This window comes from Homo sapiens, chromosome 3 (genome assembly GCF_000001405.40).
Source record: "Homo sapiens chromosome 3, GRCh38.p14 Primary Assembly".
Lineage (NCBI taxonomy): Eukaryota > Metazoa > Chordata > Mammalia > Primates > Hominidae > Homo > Homo sapiens.
The window spans coordinates 77,788,303-77,803,673 of record NC_000003.12 but is presented as its reverse complement, the minus strand read 5'-3'; the positions used below and the strand labels follow the sequence as shown (position 1 = coordinate 77,803,673).

Sequence of the window (15,371 nt, the reverse complement as noted above, 5' to 3'; positions counted from 1 at the left end):
AGTTTGACTTCTAGTTCCTGATCTTTCTTCTTGGCTATCATCTTCTGTTTTACTATCTGCTCTGTTTTTTGTTCTCATGTTGTATATAATATTGATTCACCCATTCATTGAACAAATGTCTATCGGGCACCAACTATGTTCTACTGTAATTACGGCAGTGAATAAAGCAGACAAAAATACCTGCTCTCATAGAACTTAAATTCTATGAACTCATAGAACCGCCCTCATAGAGCTTAAATTTTGTGGACACTCCATCCATATCTTGAATCATAACAAGACTCTTGATTTCTTCATGGCTGCAGATCTGATTTTCTTAGTTGAGCTTTTAAATTCAGGGTATCCATTGGCTGTTCTCACTGTGCCTTCTAGCCCTGTCTGGTGTAAATAAATGACCACAGTTGACCAAGTCTTGACATTGGTTCCAATTCCATAAGTTGCAAAAATCACTGCACAGAAATTAAAACTAAGGCAGTGCTGGGTGATCATTTGTCTGATTCTTGAGACAAGTTTATTCAATATTTCACTAGGGTTGAAGCAGATAAAAAGTACTAGAGGTAGTAGACTACATGAAAAGTCCAAGAAATATTCAGGGGGAAGTTTAACCTGGGATTCTAAAGACTGTCAGTTACTTAGATCAAAAGGAGGACTTTTCTGGGCATACCTCTGGACACAGGGTATTTGGAAATTTCCTTATCATTTGTAGATGTCCTAGAGATATTCCTACACTTCTGACATTGTATTTTTATGTCATTGTTGTCCAGGATCCCAGTAAAAATCCCATTCTGACAAGGGTTTTGTAATTATATTTTTGGTGATTATATAAAATACAAAAACAAGCTGGATAGAGTATATATCTGATAAAATACACCAATTCTTGCAAAAATTATGTTTTATTAAGCATCATTTCAACTTGCAGAAAGTGGAAATCCTTTGCTATTATACAGCTATCTAAAAGTTAATTTCCCTTTTCAAGCTTTGGTTTTCTGCATTTTAATGTTTCGATTTTAGAAAACAATCTTAAATTACACAACTGGCTTTAAAAATGAATAACCATGCATTTTCTACATCAGAGATATGGGGCCTTAAACATATCTTTGAAGCAAACAGAAGATCTTTACTTCACTACTGACTAATGCCAGATGCCTTTTCAGTACACAAGGGAAGGATTAACAATATGTAGGAACATGTAAATGGAGAAAATCAGTCACAGGTGCGAAAGGCACCACAATGATTGCCTTCCTATGAAACAATAATCCCAATGTTCGTCAAATAGAAAATGGGATTCCTCTTGGGAACATAAAAATCAAGTTTTGTAACAGTTAAAGGCTATTTTGTGAGAAAATTTCAAGTGAGTTGATGGAAGAAGAGCAATGCATGGTCCTGTCATTTATATCAGAACAGTTGTGCTTTGATATAAAGATACTGAGCATAGAAACATACCGAGTGAAACTTCCAAATTCTGAAGAGGAAATAGTAGAGTCAGACAATGCTGAGTACTTTTTTGTTTGCTTCTGATGTGGACATTATGTGTATTTTCTCTCAAATTTGTATAAATTTTGATTAGCTATGTTAGTTTATATGTGGAAATTATTTTCCAAGTGAATGATAAGGCTCAAAAACAGTGACTTAATTATACTATATTTAAGTAAGGTGAAGTACTCTGTAGTCCACGTATTTGAAATGTATATATGCCAAGGATTAAACTAACATTCCTCCCTAGTTGCAACTAGTTCAACAATGAATTTTATTAATTCTTCATGCAGCAAATTAATGCACTACTGGAAGAGTTTAGTCATGTTAGGGTGCGTGTCAGCCAGATGACTGTTTAAGATATGACATGTGAATCTCTCGCTCTGTCAATTACATAAATTGCTTTTAAATTATGCTGTAGATCTGGAAACTATCTTACAGAAAAACAGTAAAGACACTTGCTAAGCATCAGAGGCCACAAACTTTGGATTATGTGACTTAGCTTTTAGTAAAAGCAGACATACAAAGGTGGGACATCCAAAGCTTTTCTCTGTCTCATATAGAAAGCCATATGAATTTAATCTGGTTTTGGATATTCGTGTGAAATTTGAGGAACCTAGGTTACATACACGCCTATAAATCTATCTTTGAAATAGGAGTCTCAATATTTCATTGCAAGGACATGTGAAATCCTAGAATCTTGGTCTATCTAGCGTCTGATTTAGGCTCATTCTAGAAATTTTTAAAAGTATTCCATCTAGACTACTCTTGGATGTGTCGCCTTCACACAACTGAAAATGACAAATGCAACATGTAAGAGAGTTTCAAGAACTATCTTTGTTTAGTTAGTGCTCCTGTAAGTCCTACATTTCTAAACACCCCAATTTTAAGCTTTTAACTAAAAATATAGAAATACAATTTTTTAACACAGTTACCCTTTTGTTATTTTGCTAAGTGGTTAAAGCAAAGTGATGGAAGGATTCTTCAGGGTAGTGAACTTTCTGTTCCTTAGTAAAAGATTGACTGGATACAGTCTGCTGCCAATGAAGCATAAGAGACTGGCGTCCTTCAAAAACAGCAGCTGTAGACAATAAAGTAGTTTAAAATAGAATAAAACTACTATGCCTGCCTTTCATTGCCTTTGATTCATCTCAATAAAATTTGCATTTAAACATGGTAGGATTAGCTTGCTTTGCTATGCTTCATATAAAAAACACTTTTCCCCATACAAAGAAAGTTTAATTTCTTTTCCAACATTTATTTTCATTATAGTTTATTACCACTGTGTATGTTGGCACTTTGTATAAACATTCATTAGCTATGCTACAAAAAACGTATGTGTGCAGTCAATCTAAATAAAAGGTAAATATTTGTTTCAAAAATGCTAGTTTCATTTGCATTAAATATTTATCTTTCATATACAGCAACCAGATGTAACCTAGGTTTAGTCTCTTTCCAGTGTGCAGTATTTAATCAGAATGTTGCCTTAAAATCTTACTGTCAGTAAAAAACAATGTACCTTCTGAATTTAAAATATTAATTTAGATTCCATTAACTAGGTGTTGATTTATACGTGACATAATTTTGCTATTAGAGCCATGTCAAAGTAACTATATGGAAGAGTCATCATATTATTTATGTTAAAGAAAGTCAGTCTTCAAAGTGAAGCTATTTAGCCTTCTCTAATAAAGCAAATAATCACTTCTTAGATATAAAAATTGTATGAAAGAAGTAGTAAGTGTTCGTAACAGTGTAACACTCATCTATTAGAACATAGCCATTGAGTGTATAATAATGACAAAGCAGATCAGTACTGATAGATTTTACAAGAACAAACTGTGTAACTGTAGAATCACTGACGGAAGAAAAACTATTCAGTCCACTTGGTTATGTATTGGCATTATATAAATTGTATTATTTAATCTTCATTTTAATTTTTAAAATTGTATTGGGAAGTCACTTTTCTTTAAATTACCTAACCATATTTTACCATATTATGAATGTTAAACTGATTCTAAATTCACTAGGATACAATAAAGACTTACGTAAATTACATAAAGCAAAAATTACAAATTTTGGAGTAACTTATGAATTCAGATTGTATTTTCAGGCATTAATTGATGCTTTCACTGCAGGAGAAGGGGAGAGATGAAAGGGTAAGAAAAGAATGAGTTATCTAGTTTGACTCTATATGACTGAAATTCACTAAAGGTAATTGACAACTTTTCCTTTGTCATGCCCAGCCTGGATCTCAAATCAGTTACTTTAAATCATCCCACGTGGTGAAGTTTATCCATTTATAACACACTTAAATCTGGGAAATCCGCAGCTACATAGCATTAACAGCAGGTCAACAGAGAATTACACCTGAAATTCAAAATAAACAGAAAAAGACCAGTCAATCTTAGGCTCATTAAGTGCATTTTTATTGATTGTATTTTCTTCCTTCAGCATGAATCCAAAGGAAAAAACTGGTCCTAAGGCTTTTACTCTTTCATTATCCCAGACAAGAAAGAAAGGATAGTATAGAAAACAGGAACATAAAATAGCTGTTTCTGCAAAAATGATCACCTTCCTCATAGCTTCATAATTTACTCCCAGTCCATAAGGTCCTCAGTTCCTGTGATTGCAATGATGGATGACTCCACTTCAGCTACAACAGGCAAAGATGCTGCAATGTATCACTCTGCAGGATACACAATAGAACCAACGAACCAGCAGGACTGAATGGCAAGCAGGGGTGCCAAGGGAATTCTCTTCAGTGGAAGAGTAGACAGTCATTCCCTGGAATTATGTAAACTGCAGCTTGTAAATATTGCTTCCATTGTGGACACGTGCGTGTGCAACTTGACAGAAAAGGGCAACGCTGGCACAGAAGAATGCAAAAATATTTTCCACTTCAGTGCCCGTATTTCTCACATGGCCAGATTTTGCATTAAACAAAGCCCTAGCTCGATGGCCAGTGAATTGTTGAGAATGTAAGTATATATATTTGAGGACAGAGGGAAACCATTAATGGTTTCATCATTGAGATTTGGTTTACTCTGAAGCTTGTAATTCGATACTGAGGTAATGCTAAATTGTTTGGTGATAATTTCTTAAATCACATTTCTGAGATCACCACATATCTTGTCACAAGTCAATATTAAATTTGAACTGACTAAATTAGTATGTTAAAAAATAACTAGCAAATTTTAGCTCTTCTGTCCATTCCACCATCTGTTAACAAAAGAAGCCTGGAATTTCCAGACTATGCAGGGCTATATACTCACTCCCACCCCTGTCCTCTGCAGCTTGTACAGAAGAGAAAAATGCAAACTACCCATGCTTTACACTTTCGCACATGGTCTAATAGAAATATGCCCTGCACAGAATAAGGTTTAACACTTATGTCCTAATAGGACTTTAGTAGCTAAGGCCTCGCAGCAGCAAGGGATAACACTAGTTGTTAGCAATTCCTCTGAATTACTAGCCACCAGCAAGAAAAACTTCTCAGCCAGCTCTTACAACAAATTGACAGATCCTTTTTGCCAGGTTCTTCTTTATCTGTCTTGTATGAAAAATTTGTGTTCTACAGGGAGCCCTGGGGATTTTTTGTTTGTGTTTGGTTAGTTGGTATGGTTTTTTCTTTTAACTTTTATGCAAGAAACCTTCTCTTTCTCTTCCGTACTAACAGAGGCAGAGACAGAAAATAAAGTAAAACTCATAAAAAGTAGTCTAATGACATTCCAGGTGCCCATACAGTTCAGGCACTGCATACAGCCCTGATACTTAATTTATACTGTATAGACACACAACAGACTATCAGTGTGTGTGTGGTGTGTGTATTAGGGATGGGAGATAATCTATAATCTTACATAAAGTGATTGGTTCTCATGACAGATGACCTTTAAAAGTGAATGAAACCAAGATGTGAGTTTCATCTTTCACATATTGAAGTAGCTACATTCGATATTTTTTAAATCATTTGCCTGTTGTTTATTTGTTTTTATTTTTTGGCTCAGTAAAAAAAAAAAATGAAACTAAAGATGAACTGGCAATCATAAATGATACTTTGTACGTTTTTTATTCTCGGAGAAGAGATTTGAAACTTCTGCTTGAGAATGGATAATAGAACTCCGCTTAGCTCTCAGAACACAAGCTACACACTAACTCAATATTTCCAATTGTGTTTTATGAAATGCTAATATTTGAAAATGGGGTTTTGCTGTCAAGCAAGTTTGGGAAACACTTGTGAAACAGAGTTAAATATCTTAACTGTACAACTTCACAGAACCTTTCATATGATCACAGGCATTGCAAATATCAAGAAGGGATATTGCCATTTTTTCATGTTTGTTTTTGTTTCTGTTTTTTGTTTTTTAACTTTAATTTCAGGAGCACATGTGCAGGTTTGTAACATAGATAAACTTGTGTCATGGGGATTTGTTGCACCAACTATTTCATCATCTAGGTATTAAGCCTACAACCCATTAGTTTTTTTTTCTGATTCTCTACCTCTTCCCACCCTCCAGCCTCCAATAGCCCTGAGTGTGTGTCGTTCCCTTTCATGTGTCAAAGTGTTCTCATCATTTAGCTGCCACTTACAAGTGAGAACATTTGGTATTTGTGTTTTTGTTCCTGCATTCGTTTGCTAAAGGTGACCTCCAGCTCCTTTCAAGTGCCTGCAAAGGACATGATCTCATTCTTTTTTATGGCGACATAGCATTCCAGGGTGTGCACGTACCACCTTTTTTTTTAATCCAGTCTTATCATTTTGTATATTTGAACTGGGCACTTTTGTTTTCACTGAAAATCTTTTAATATAATGAGGAACTTACATTCTGCATAGTGTATTTTGAAAAATGCTACCTTAATGTTGCATTCATACGTATAACTAAGCATCTTTGATCTTATATTTTAAGCATTATTGTCAGTGTTTTGCTACAATGCAATGCCATGACCTGAACAAGCTTCTGTTTATATATTTTATGTCCTTTCCCTTCTGCTGATTTATAGAATTAGCATTTTGTCTGAGTTGTCCCTTTCTTTATCTGAAAAACTTCTAAATCGGTTGGTGACTCCTGGCGACTAAGACGTATGTCGAATGTATTCTGACTCCCTTACAACTACAAGAGCATAGGCTCCGCTCTGTAATCCAGAACTCTGGGTTGTTTTCAGACCACTTTCTAAAAGAAATGCATCTCATTACAAATTGTAAAAGTAGGCCGGGCGCAATGGCTCACGCCTATCATCTCATCACTTTGGGAGGCCTAAGCAGGTAGATCATTCGAAGTCAGGAGTTCGAGACCAGCCTGACCAACATGGTGAAACCCTGTCTCTACTAAAAATACAACATTAACCAGGCGTGGCGGCACACGCCTGTAATCCCAGCTATTTGGAAGGCTGAGGCAGGAGAATCACTTAAATTCGGGGGGCAGAGCATGCAGTGAGCCAAGATCGCGCCATTGCACTCCAGCCTGGGTAACAAGGGCGAAACTTCATCTCAAAAAAAAAAAAGCATAAGGAGTTCTTGAGTTTTAATTTAGACCGTTAGTTATTAAAATACATCTTGTCATTTTACATTCAGAGACTCAAAGTCAGTGAAGGAAGGTGACCTATGTAGTGGAAACAGTATTAGACTGAGAATCAGGGAACTAAGGTTTAATCATTAATAACAGTACAACCCAAGAAAGATACATCCAGGTCCTCAGTTGCTCATATGTAAGATGAAAAGTGTATGATTCATGCATTTGGAGCATGAAATGGGAAATCGAAACTTAATAAGAATTAAATTATGGTGGCTAGTCCTTTCTTACATATATAAGACATTCTTATTGCAAATGGAAGTCATTTAACAGTAAAATTTTATTTCCTTTTTTCTAAAATTTTACTTAAAATATATAAACAACATATATAATTAGTCTGTTTGGCGACACCTAGAATAATTAAGGCAATGTTCTTGCCCTGTTTTGAAATTATTATATGTTAAATATACGTGCTGCTTACTACAAAATGGGCAAGGAGATCAAAGCCTTTTGTTTTTAGCATGAGTGTTAATCTATAGGCTTTTTTCCAATTAAAAACAGCCGTTAGTCTAATAGAGTCAGAATTTCATTGCATATCTTTCAACACATCAATCTACCAGCACAAAGCTTTTTAGTGCCTTTCTGTTTGAAGACGAATGTGTACCTACTTGTTAGAAATCTTGGCACCAACTCTTCTCTGTATGTAGAAGATATAATAGCTTGACATTGAAAGAACTTAGCTTTAACAAAATATACCCATTATGTGTCACAGCTAAATTCTTCTTGGCAAAGAAAAAAGGCATAAAAAAGAAAAGTGTGAGTTCATGAGAAGAACTCAAATTAAGCTTTTTAAAATTCCTTTGGTTTAACTACCGATGTTTCATCCATCGTTCAGTAACAGACATTCATTATACCTTTGTATGATTCATTGCTATAAATTTTTTTAATTTTAAATGTGTGTCAATTTTACCCTCCTAACTTGCACATGAAATGCTTTTTACCATTACAGCATTTTAAGAGAAAACATCACCTTGTAGAGTTTGAAGATGTACTTCAAAATTTGTGCTTAAAATATACTATGACAAAAAATTAAAATGTTTACCACTTCTGTGGCTTGTGAAAAGGTTTAGTACAAACCTCAATATAAAAATAAGTATATTTTATCTTGAAAGGGTAGAAAGATAATTTGTTGAGCAAAATCAAATATTTTTATTTTGAAAATGAAAGAAACGTTTTTGCTTAATTTTTTGGGTCACTATATGGTGGCTCTGTTTAGTTTCTGGTGTAGCATTTCACTTCCACCTTACAGAGGCACAATGACCAGGGTTAGGGGCTGCAGTAAGCTTGTTGGAGATGATAGGTATTTACTTGCTGCTTTAGGGTATGCAGATGGACTCCCGGGAGCCCTGCGACACTGAGTCTTGTTCTACCTGCAGGCTCTAAAGCAGGTGTGTGCGGCTGATGGGGCTGCTCCAAATGGAAAACCACAGGTTATGCTAATTAAGGAAGCTCAGGGACTCTGAAGGAGCACACAGGTTACTGCTGATGGTGGCGTGCCAAAGGTTAGTGAAAAGCAGGATTGTCTGCTGGCCTGGGGAAGATAAGAACACAAAGGGCACCGAAAAGGATTTGAATATAGGCACTTATCAGTGTGCCTTTTAAACTACATAATGCTGCATACATTGCTTTGCTTTACACAGTAAAATTGGGAGTTCTTTTATGAATGTACTAATTTATTAACATCAATTTGTGTTACCATTTAAGTAGTTACACTCTCATTTTGTCTTAAAAAAGGAGCATCAAGAAAACATTAGGCCAACCTCAAATAACCTATGATTAAAATAAATATCAGATGTATCATGCCATTACAAGTAGTTTTATGTAGTGCAACTTCACTTCCACATTAAGAAGAAAAATATTTTAATATTAACAGCATATGAATTAATTTTTCATCTTTCCCTAATGCACTAGTTATTTTAAAAAATATTTATTTAGAGAAGTGAACACTACATTCCACAGAACAACAGAATTGAATTTTTATTGGCATTATGATCAAATGGCTAATTCTAATAATTATATACCAGAATTAATTCATGTTAAATTTATTGTAGATAATTTTAAATTTTATATATGCTACTTCATTATTAATTACATTTTACTTTGAATAAATTAGATTAGCCTGCAAGAAAGGTGATCTAAAGAACAATGAATGTTAAAAATAAGGAAGGCATATAGTGTGAACATTACAGATTTCAGCACGGTTTACCATAGCGCAGCTAGTTGATGATAAGCCATGCATAGATTACCTAAAGTACATGTGGTATAATTGATCATTCTGAATTTAATTAGTGTCATGTTTGTTTTTGTTATCTATTGTGGCTCAACAGACTAACCTACCATTTGATGGCTTTAAACCAGAACCATTTCGTTTGCTTAAGATTCTGTGGGTCAGGAATTTAGGGGGTGGGTGTGCTTGCCTGAGCATTTCCTCCATTCCTTGTCGTATTTCCTTACTTATTTGGCTGCATTCGGCTGGGTTACCAGCTGGACGTCAGGTTCAGTTGGAATACAGGGCTGACTGGTGAATGAATTCAGCCACCTCTGTGGTTTCTCAGCTTGAATGGCTAGAACAGCTCAGGGCTAGCTGGGCCTCTTACTCTCTATGCCTCTCCAGTAGAAGATGGTAGAGAACTCCAAGAAAACTGAATTGCAAGCTGCAGATAAGACTTGGCCTCAGGGGTTACACAGTGTCATTTCCGCCGCATTCTACTGGTGAAAGCCAGTCACTAGTAAGCCCAGATTCAAGAGGAGTGGGATAATAGATCCTAAAGCTTGATGTGGGAGTGGAATGAGAGATATTATTGTGGCCATCTTTAGAAACACAATCTAAATAAGTTGAATATATTTTTTGTTTGCTACCAGAAGATGCCATATCTTTCCTAGAATTAGCATTAATAATTATATTAGACCTCACAAACATTAAATCCTGAAACATAGGAAATATCCCAGATATTTCCTTATTAAATATATAAATTTGAAACCATACCAAAAATAGTTAAATAGGAAGTCAGAGTCTATACCCCCATTGCCCTGAAGCAGTGCGGCAAGGGCTGTTTCAACAGGGAACACGTGTTCACCATTTCAAAGCCAGACCTCAGTGCACCTGGCCCCTTAAAGATGTCTAAACTAGAATGAATGAGATAAACTGTTATGGGTGAGAATTTTCACCCACCACTTAGGAATGGCTCTTACTTAGAAACAAACTGCTGGCATCTTGCCAGGCCATATTGCGACCTTACCTCATTGCACTTGAGCTCACTCTTTTCAGGGTCTTTCTGGGACAGTATCACTGAAATCACAGTGGCACTAATGTCCTAAAGGGCCTAAAATAAGTAACTTCAGCACCCACAGGGAGAAACATATTTTGTCTAAGATTATTGCAAATAATTGAACTAAAACAGTGAACAGTAATAAAGTAAATAAAAGTGACTGTAAGAAGAGAATTTGATGTAAGAAGAGAATTTGATGTTCATTTATTGTAACATTCTCACTTCATTGGTTAAAACAGTGAAGCTTTGAGAAGTGGAAGAACCCACCAATTGTCAAGCCAAGATACTTGACCTGATTCCTTTCTACCTCTCACTGCATCAAACTGACTCATGCGACTTGTCTCTGTGTCCCTACATCTGGGAGTGGCACACTATGGCCCGTTTTGTAGAGTTGTCATCTGAGGATGTTTGTTTTTCTCATTTTCAATAGCTAAAAAAAGTAAAAAGAAAAAAGTATTTTGTGACATGTTTTGTGACATACAAAACTTAAATGTTAATGCTTATGAATAAAGTTTTATGGGAACATTGTCACACTAATTTATGTATTTCTTGTGGCTGCTTTCACACTACAAAGGCAGAGCTGAGCAGTTTGACAGAGCTCCCTTTTGGTTCATAAAGCATAAAATATTTACTATCTGGTCATTTGGAGAAAAGTTTCCCTAACTCTGCTCTAGGCTTTTCTTTCTTTTGATCTATTGATTCTCTCCTTCCCTGCCCTTTCTTTCTTTTCTCTCTTTTGCAATTTCTCTTTCTCTCTTTCCCTGTTTTCCTTTCTTTCTTCATTTCTTCCTGTTGTTTCTCTCAGGCTTTCCCTTTTCTATGGTAACAAGCTGCTCCCCAACTTTTCCCCTGACTTTTGCATATGCTTTTGTCCTATGCAGGGTTTTTACATCTATTATACCCAAATGAAGTCTTTGTCTGTGATTTTTCAAAATGTTGCTCAACCCCGAAGCAGACATTTGTTTCCTTATTATATATATGGAACAATCCAATCAACAGTCTCTTCCACATTGGAAAATTCACCTGAATCAGAAACATGTTAAACCATATCATGTTAACTAAAACCGAACAGTACTTCCTCTTGGGCTTTAAGAACGTGTATGGCACAGTTTGCCACCTTCCACAGGTCTTTGCTGAATGTCCCCCTTTCAGCAATATCTTTCCTCACTACTTTATTGAAAGGTGCAGAGGCTCCCACTCTCTTTCTCCTTCTTTGTTTAAATTTCCTCCATTGTGCATATATTTGAAACATGTAACTAACTTATTTATTTTCTTTCTTCCCCACTAGAATGTGAGAGCTTCATGAGGTTAGATATTTGGATCCGTTTTGCTAAATGTTATGACCCATTGCCTGGAACCAAACGAGCCCTCAGTCAGTATTTCTTTAATGAATAAAATATTAATCTTCAGCTTATATGCAAATATAACAAAGCCTTAATAAATTAAAAACTGCATTACTTACTTGACTTAGTCAAAACTAATAATTTTTAAATTTTAGAATAATGCCATTTCTAAAACTGAAAAATAAAATTGTAAGAGTTAAGCCAAAAAGGCTCTATATCTTCTAACTAGACTTACATTTCCATTTCCTCAAGTAAAATAAAATAATACTGCATTATTTTATTATATCTTAAAACATTTAATGTGTTCAAGTGACAAGATAATCAATACTTTAACATTTGCTCACTCATTTTAAATGTCAAGAAATAGGGAAAGAAGCTAAGCATGGTGGCTCATGCTTGAAATCTCAGCACTTTGGGAGGCTAAGGTGGGCAGATAGCTTGGGCCCAGGTGTTCAAGACCAGCTTGGGCAACAGGAGGAAGCTCTGTCTCTATAAAAAATACGTGTATTAGCTAGGCATGATAGCGCATTCCTGTAGTCCCAGCTACTCAGGAGGCTGAGGTGGGAGGTTCACCTGAGCCCAGGGAGGTCGAGGATGCAGTAAATCATAATTGTGCTACTTCCAGCCTGGGCATCAGAGCAAGATCCTGTAAGAAAGAAAGAAAAAAACAAAGAAAGAAAGAGAGAGAGAGAGAGACAGAGAGAGAGAGAGAGAAAGAAAGAGAAAGAAAGAAGAAAGAAAAGAAAGAGAAAGAAGAAAAAAAGAAGAAAGAAAGAGAAAGAAAGAAAGAAGAAAGGAAAGACAGAAAGAAGAAAGAAAGAAGAAAGGAAAGAAAGAAGAAAGAAAAAGAAAGAAGAAAGAAAGAAAGAAAAGGAAGGCAGTTAAATGAGAAGAGACTTATATGATCTCAAACTTATAGAAAAACTAAAAGTACAGTAAAAATCACTTTATTTTCTGATCTATGGCCCTAAAAATGTCTTTGCAGGCAACATATCTATTTCAGAGTCAGGCACTGCATTTGGTTGTCTTATGCTGCTTCCTTCGGCCTGGAACAACCTATTTATTTTTATTTAATTTCTTACTTTGATACCTTTGAAGTTTACAGACCAGTTATTTTGCACAATGTTCCTCTTTTGGGTGTGTCTAGTGTAATTTTCATTTTCAAAAATCATGTTATGTGCAGCAATATCATAGAAATGATGCTATTTTCTTTTCATTACATTCCATCAGATGTCATCTGATTTCAATTTTCCCCCTTGTTGCTAAAGATAAACTTTGTTCACTTGTTTAAGATGACATCTGCCAGCTTCTCCACTATAAAACTGCACATCCTTTTTCTGTGTCATTGGTAAGAGTTTTGGGAGAGGGTTATTGTGAAACTATGCAAATATCTTATATTCATATTCTTTATCAAAGTTTTCAATTAGTTCATTTATTTAATGTATCAGTATGGATTTGTAGTTTACTCATATAGTCATTGGGCTATAATCTATTAGTAACATTATTTGTTTTGATACCTACTGTGTTGCATATTTCTTCAATGAGAACGCTTCAGGTTGGCCGTTGTACAGTTTTGGTGTTTCCATAATCCTTTGAGCATGTCATTGCTTTCTGGCATAATAGGCTATGCCAGGCTCATCTTGTATGTTCCCTGTCCCAGCCCTGGTATCATGTCTATCATTTCCATTGGGATGTCACTGTTTCCAGTTTCTCTCAGCAGGCAGAACTAGGTAATATGTGGATATGTGGATATATACAAAATCCATGTTACCGTGACTTTTCTTTCCACACGAGACTCTGCATATCCAACAAACGTGGATATATACTCCATAACTTGGTAACAATTTGTTCTTTTAGAGTTCTCAGAAGTGCAATTAGTCACTATCATTTGTTCTTTTAGTAAAAGAGGTGAGTGGCCAGTTTCACCTGTAATTAACAAATTACTGCATGGTTTCATTTGCCATGCTTGAGCCCATGTGTTTTTAAACATTATGTATACTGCATTCAGAACATCCAGAGGAAGGTCAGGGACAATTTTCAGACCATAAATTAATAAATTTGAGGCAGCACATATCTTCTTCTAGAAAAGAAACTGAACATTTAGAAATAAAAATAACAGAATATATATATACATTTAAGATATATTATATATACATATATGTATATGTATATATGTAACCAGCACAGAATGCCCACATAGTGAAGTGCAGAATTGCAGAGTGGAGTGTCAATGTCAGCGCCTATAAAGCTCGTTGGCTTCTGAAAGGGCTCTCAGTTCATAGACTATATATTGCAGTGTCTCCACTAAGTCAGCAGAGTTTAAGGAATGAATATCAGTGTCCCTATTTTCTTTTTCCTTTTTAAAGTAAAAATAGACATGACCTCTAGATAGATGATAGATAGATAGATAGATGATAGACAAAGGTAGATAGATAGATAGATGATAGATAGATAGATAGATAGATAGATAGATAGATAGATAGATAGATAGATAGATAGATATAGAATGGAAAAAGATGGCCACTAGGTTTTTAAAAGTATTTTTTCTTAATAAATTGAACTCATAACTGAAATATTTCATTTTCAGTGAAAATCCAACCTCAATTGTACAATTAAAACGACTTATTTTAAATTTAATATAGAAAGAAAGAATAATTGTTTTTGGGTTCCTCTTTGCTCCCGTCCCTGTGCCCACCATGACCAAACCTAATCTCCACCCTTTATCCCTAGCCCATCTCAGTTATAAGATTTAGATTCTCTCATTTCAGTAACTTCTATAATAAAAGTGAGAGAATGGCACTATAAATGGTTGATTGTACAAGGTAATGCTTGAACTTTGCTGCCTTACAGTTTAAAGAGCAGCTTTGGTCATTGCCATGTGATGAAACTTCGTTCATATTGAGAAAAATGGGATTTGATCCACTGTTCTAGGAAAGTATGTGATGGCATGGCTTGGGTTTGTCCATTCATTTCTCAGAGAGACATTTTAAACACTACAGCAAAGAAGAGATGACAGCATGAGATATTCTTCAAAGTCTTCGTATTTAGCCCTATTTCACAAGAATTAGGGAACATTATGATTTTGGCTGAAAGTATTCAAAATCATTAAATTGTTTTTTAAAAACGTATTTTTATATTACATTTTATAAAATTACTGGCAATTCACTTTTTAACCACAAAGGGTAGACGAGTTTTTAGAATTTGCCTGATGAGGTCATGTCTTTAAAAAAGTAGTATAACACCTATTTCTAGCCACTGTTGCAACTACAGGTGGCTGTGTACAGAATAACTCTATTCCTCTATATCCTGTTTGGACAAACCATCTTTCCACTGATTTAAGCACACCTTCAGAATGAAACATAATTTCTTATCTCAGGAATTCCAAAGTCTAATTGAAGAGGCAAGCTTATATTGAATAATTTGGCAAAGCAGATTGTGATTGGCAATAATAAAGTAATTCAATATATAAAAAATAAGAAAAGAAGGAAATATCTGTTTCATAGTTGTAATAAATTAGAACTTTACCATGCAGAATAGATAGAGAGGCATTCCTCAAAAATTAAGAGAGGTATAAAGTAAATGTAAATGTAAACTATAGGGGTTTTCTAAGGCAGAGAGTCATGCTTCAGGATAATGAAGGTAATGCTGGTATTTAGATTCCTTTGGAGAAGGCAACACTAAAAGTAGAGTTATCATTTATGAGATCCAAGAAGTCCAAGAAA

General features: G+C 35.1%; 1 annotated feature.

Annotated features, from left to right (window-relative positions):
* Positions 8,159 to 8,737: an enhancer, noted in NCBI's record as "OCT4-NANOG hESC enhancer chr3:77844088-77844666 (GRCh37/hg19 assembly coordinates)". NCBI's record gives its function as "activates a minimal SCP1, AML or CMV promoter by ChIP-STARR-seq in naive H9 embryonic stem cells {active_cell/tissue: H9 hESC(naive)}" and the evidence as "EXISTENCE:reporter gene assay evidence [ECO:0000049][PMID:30033119]".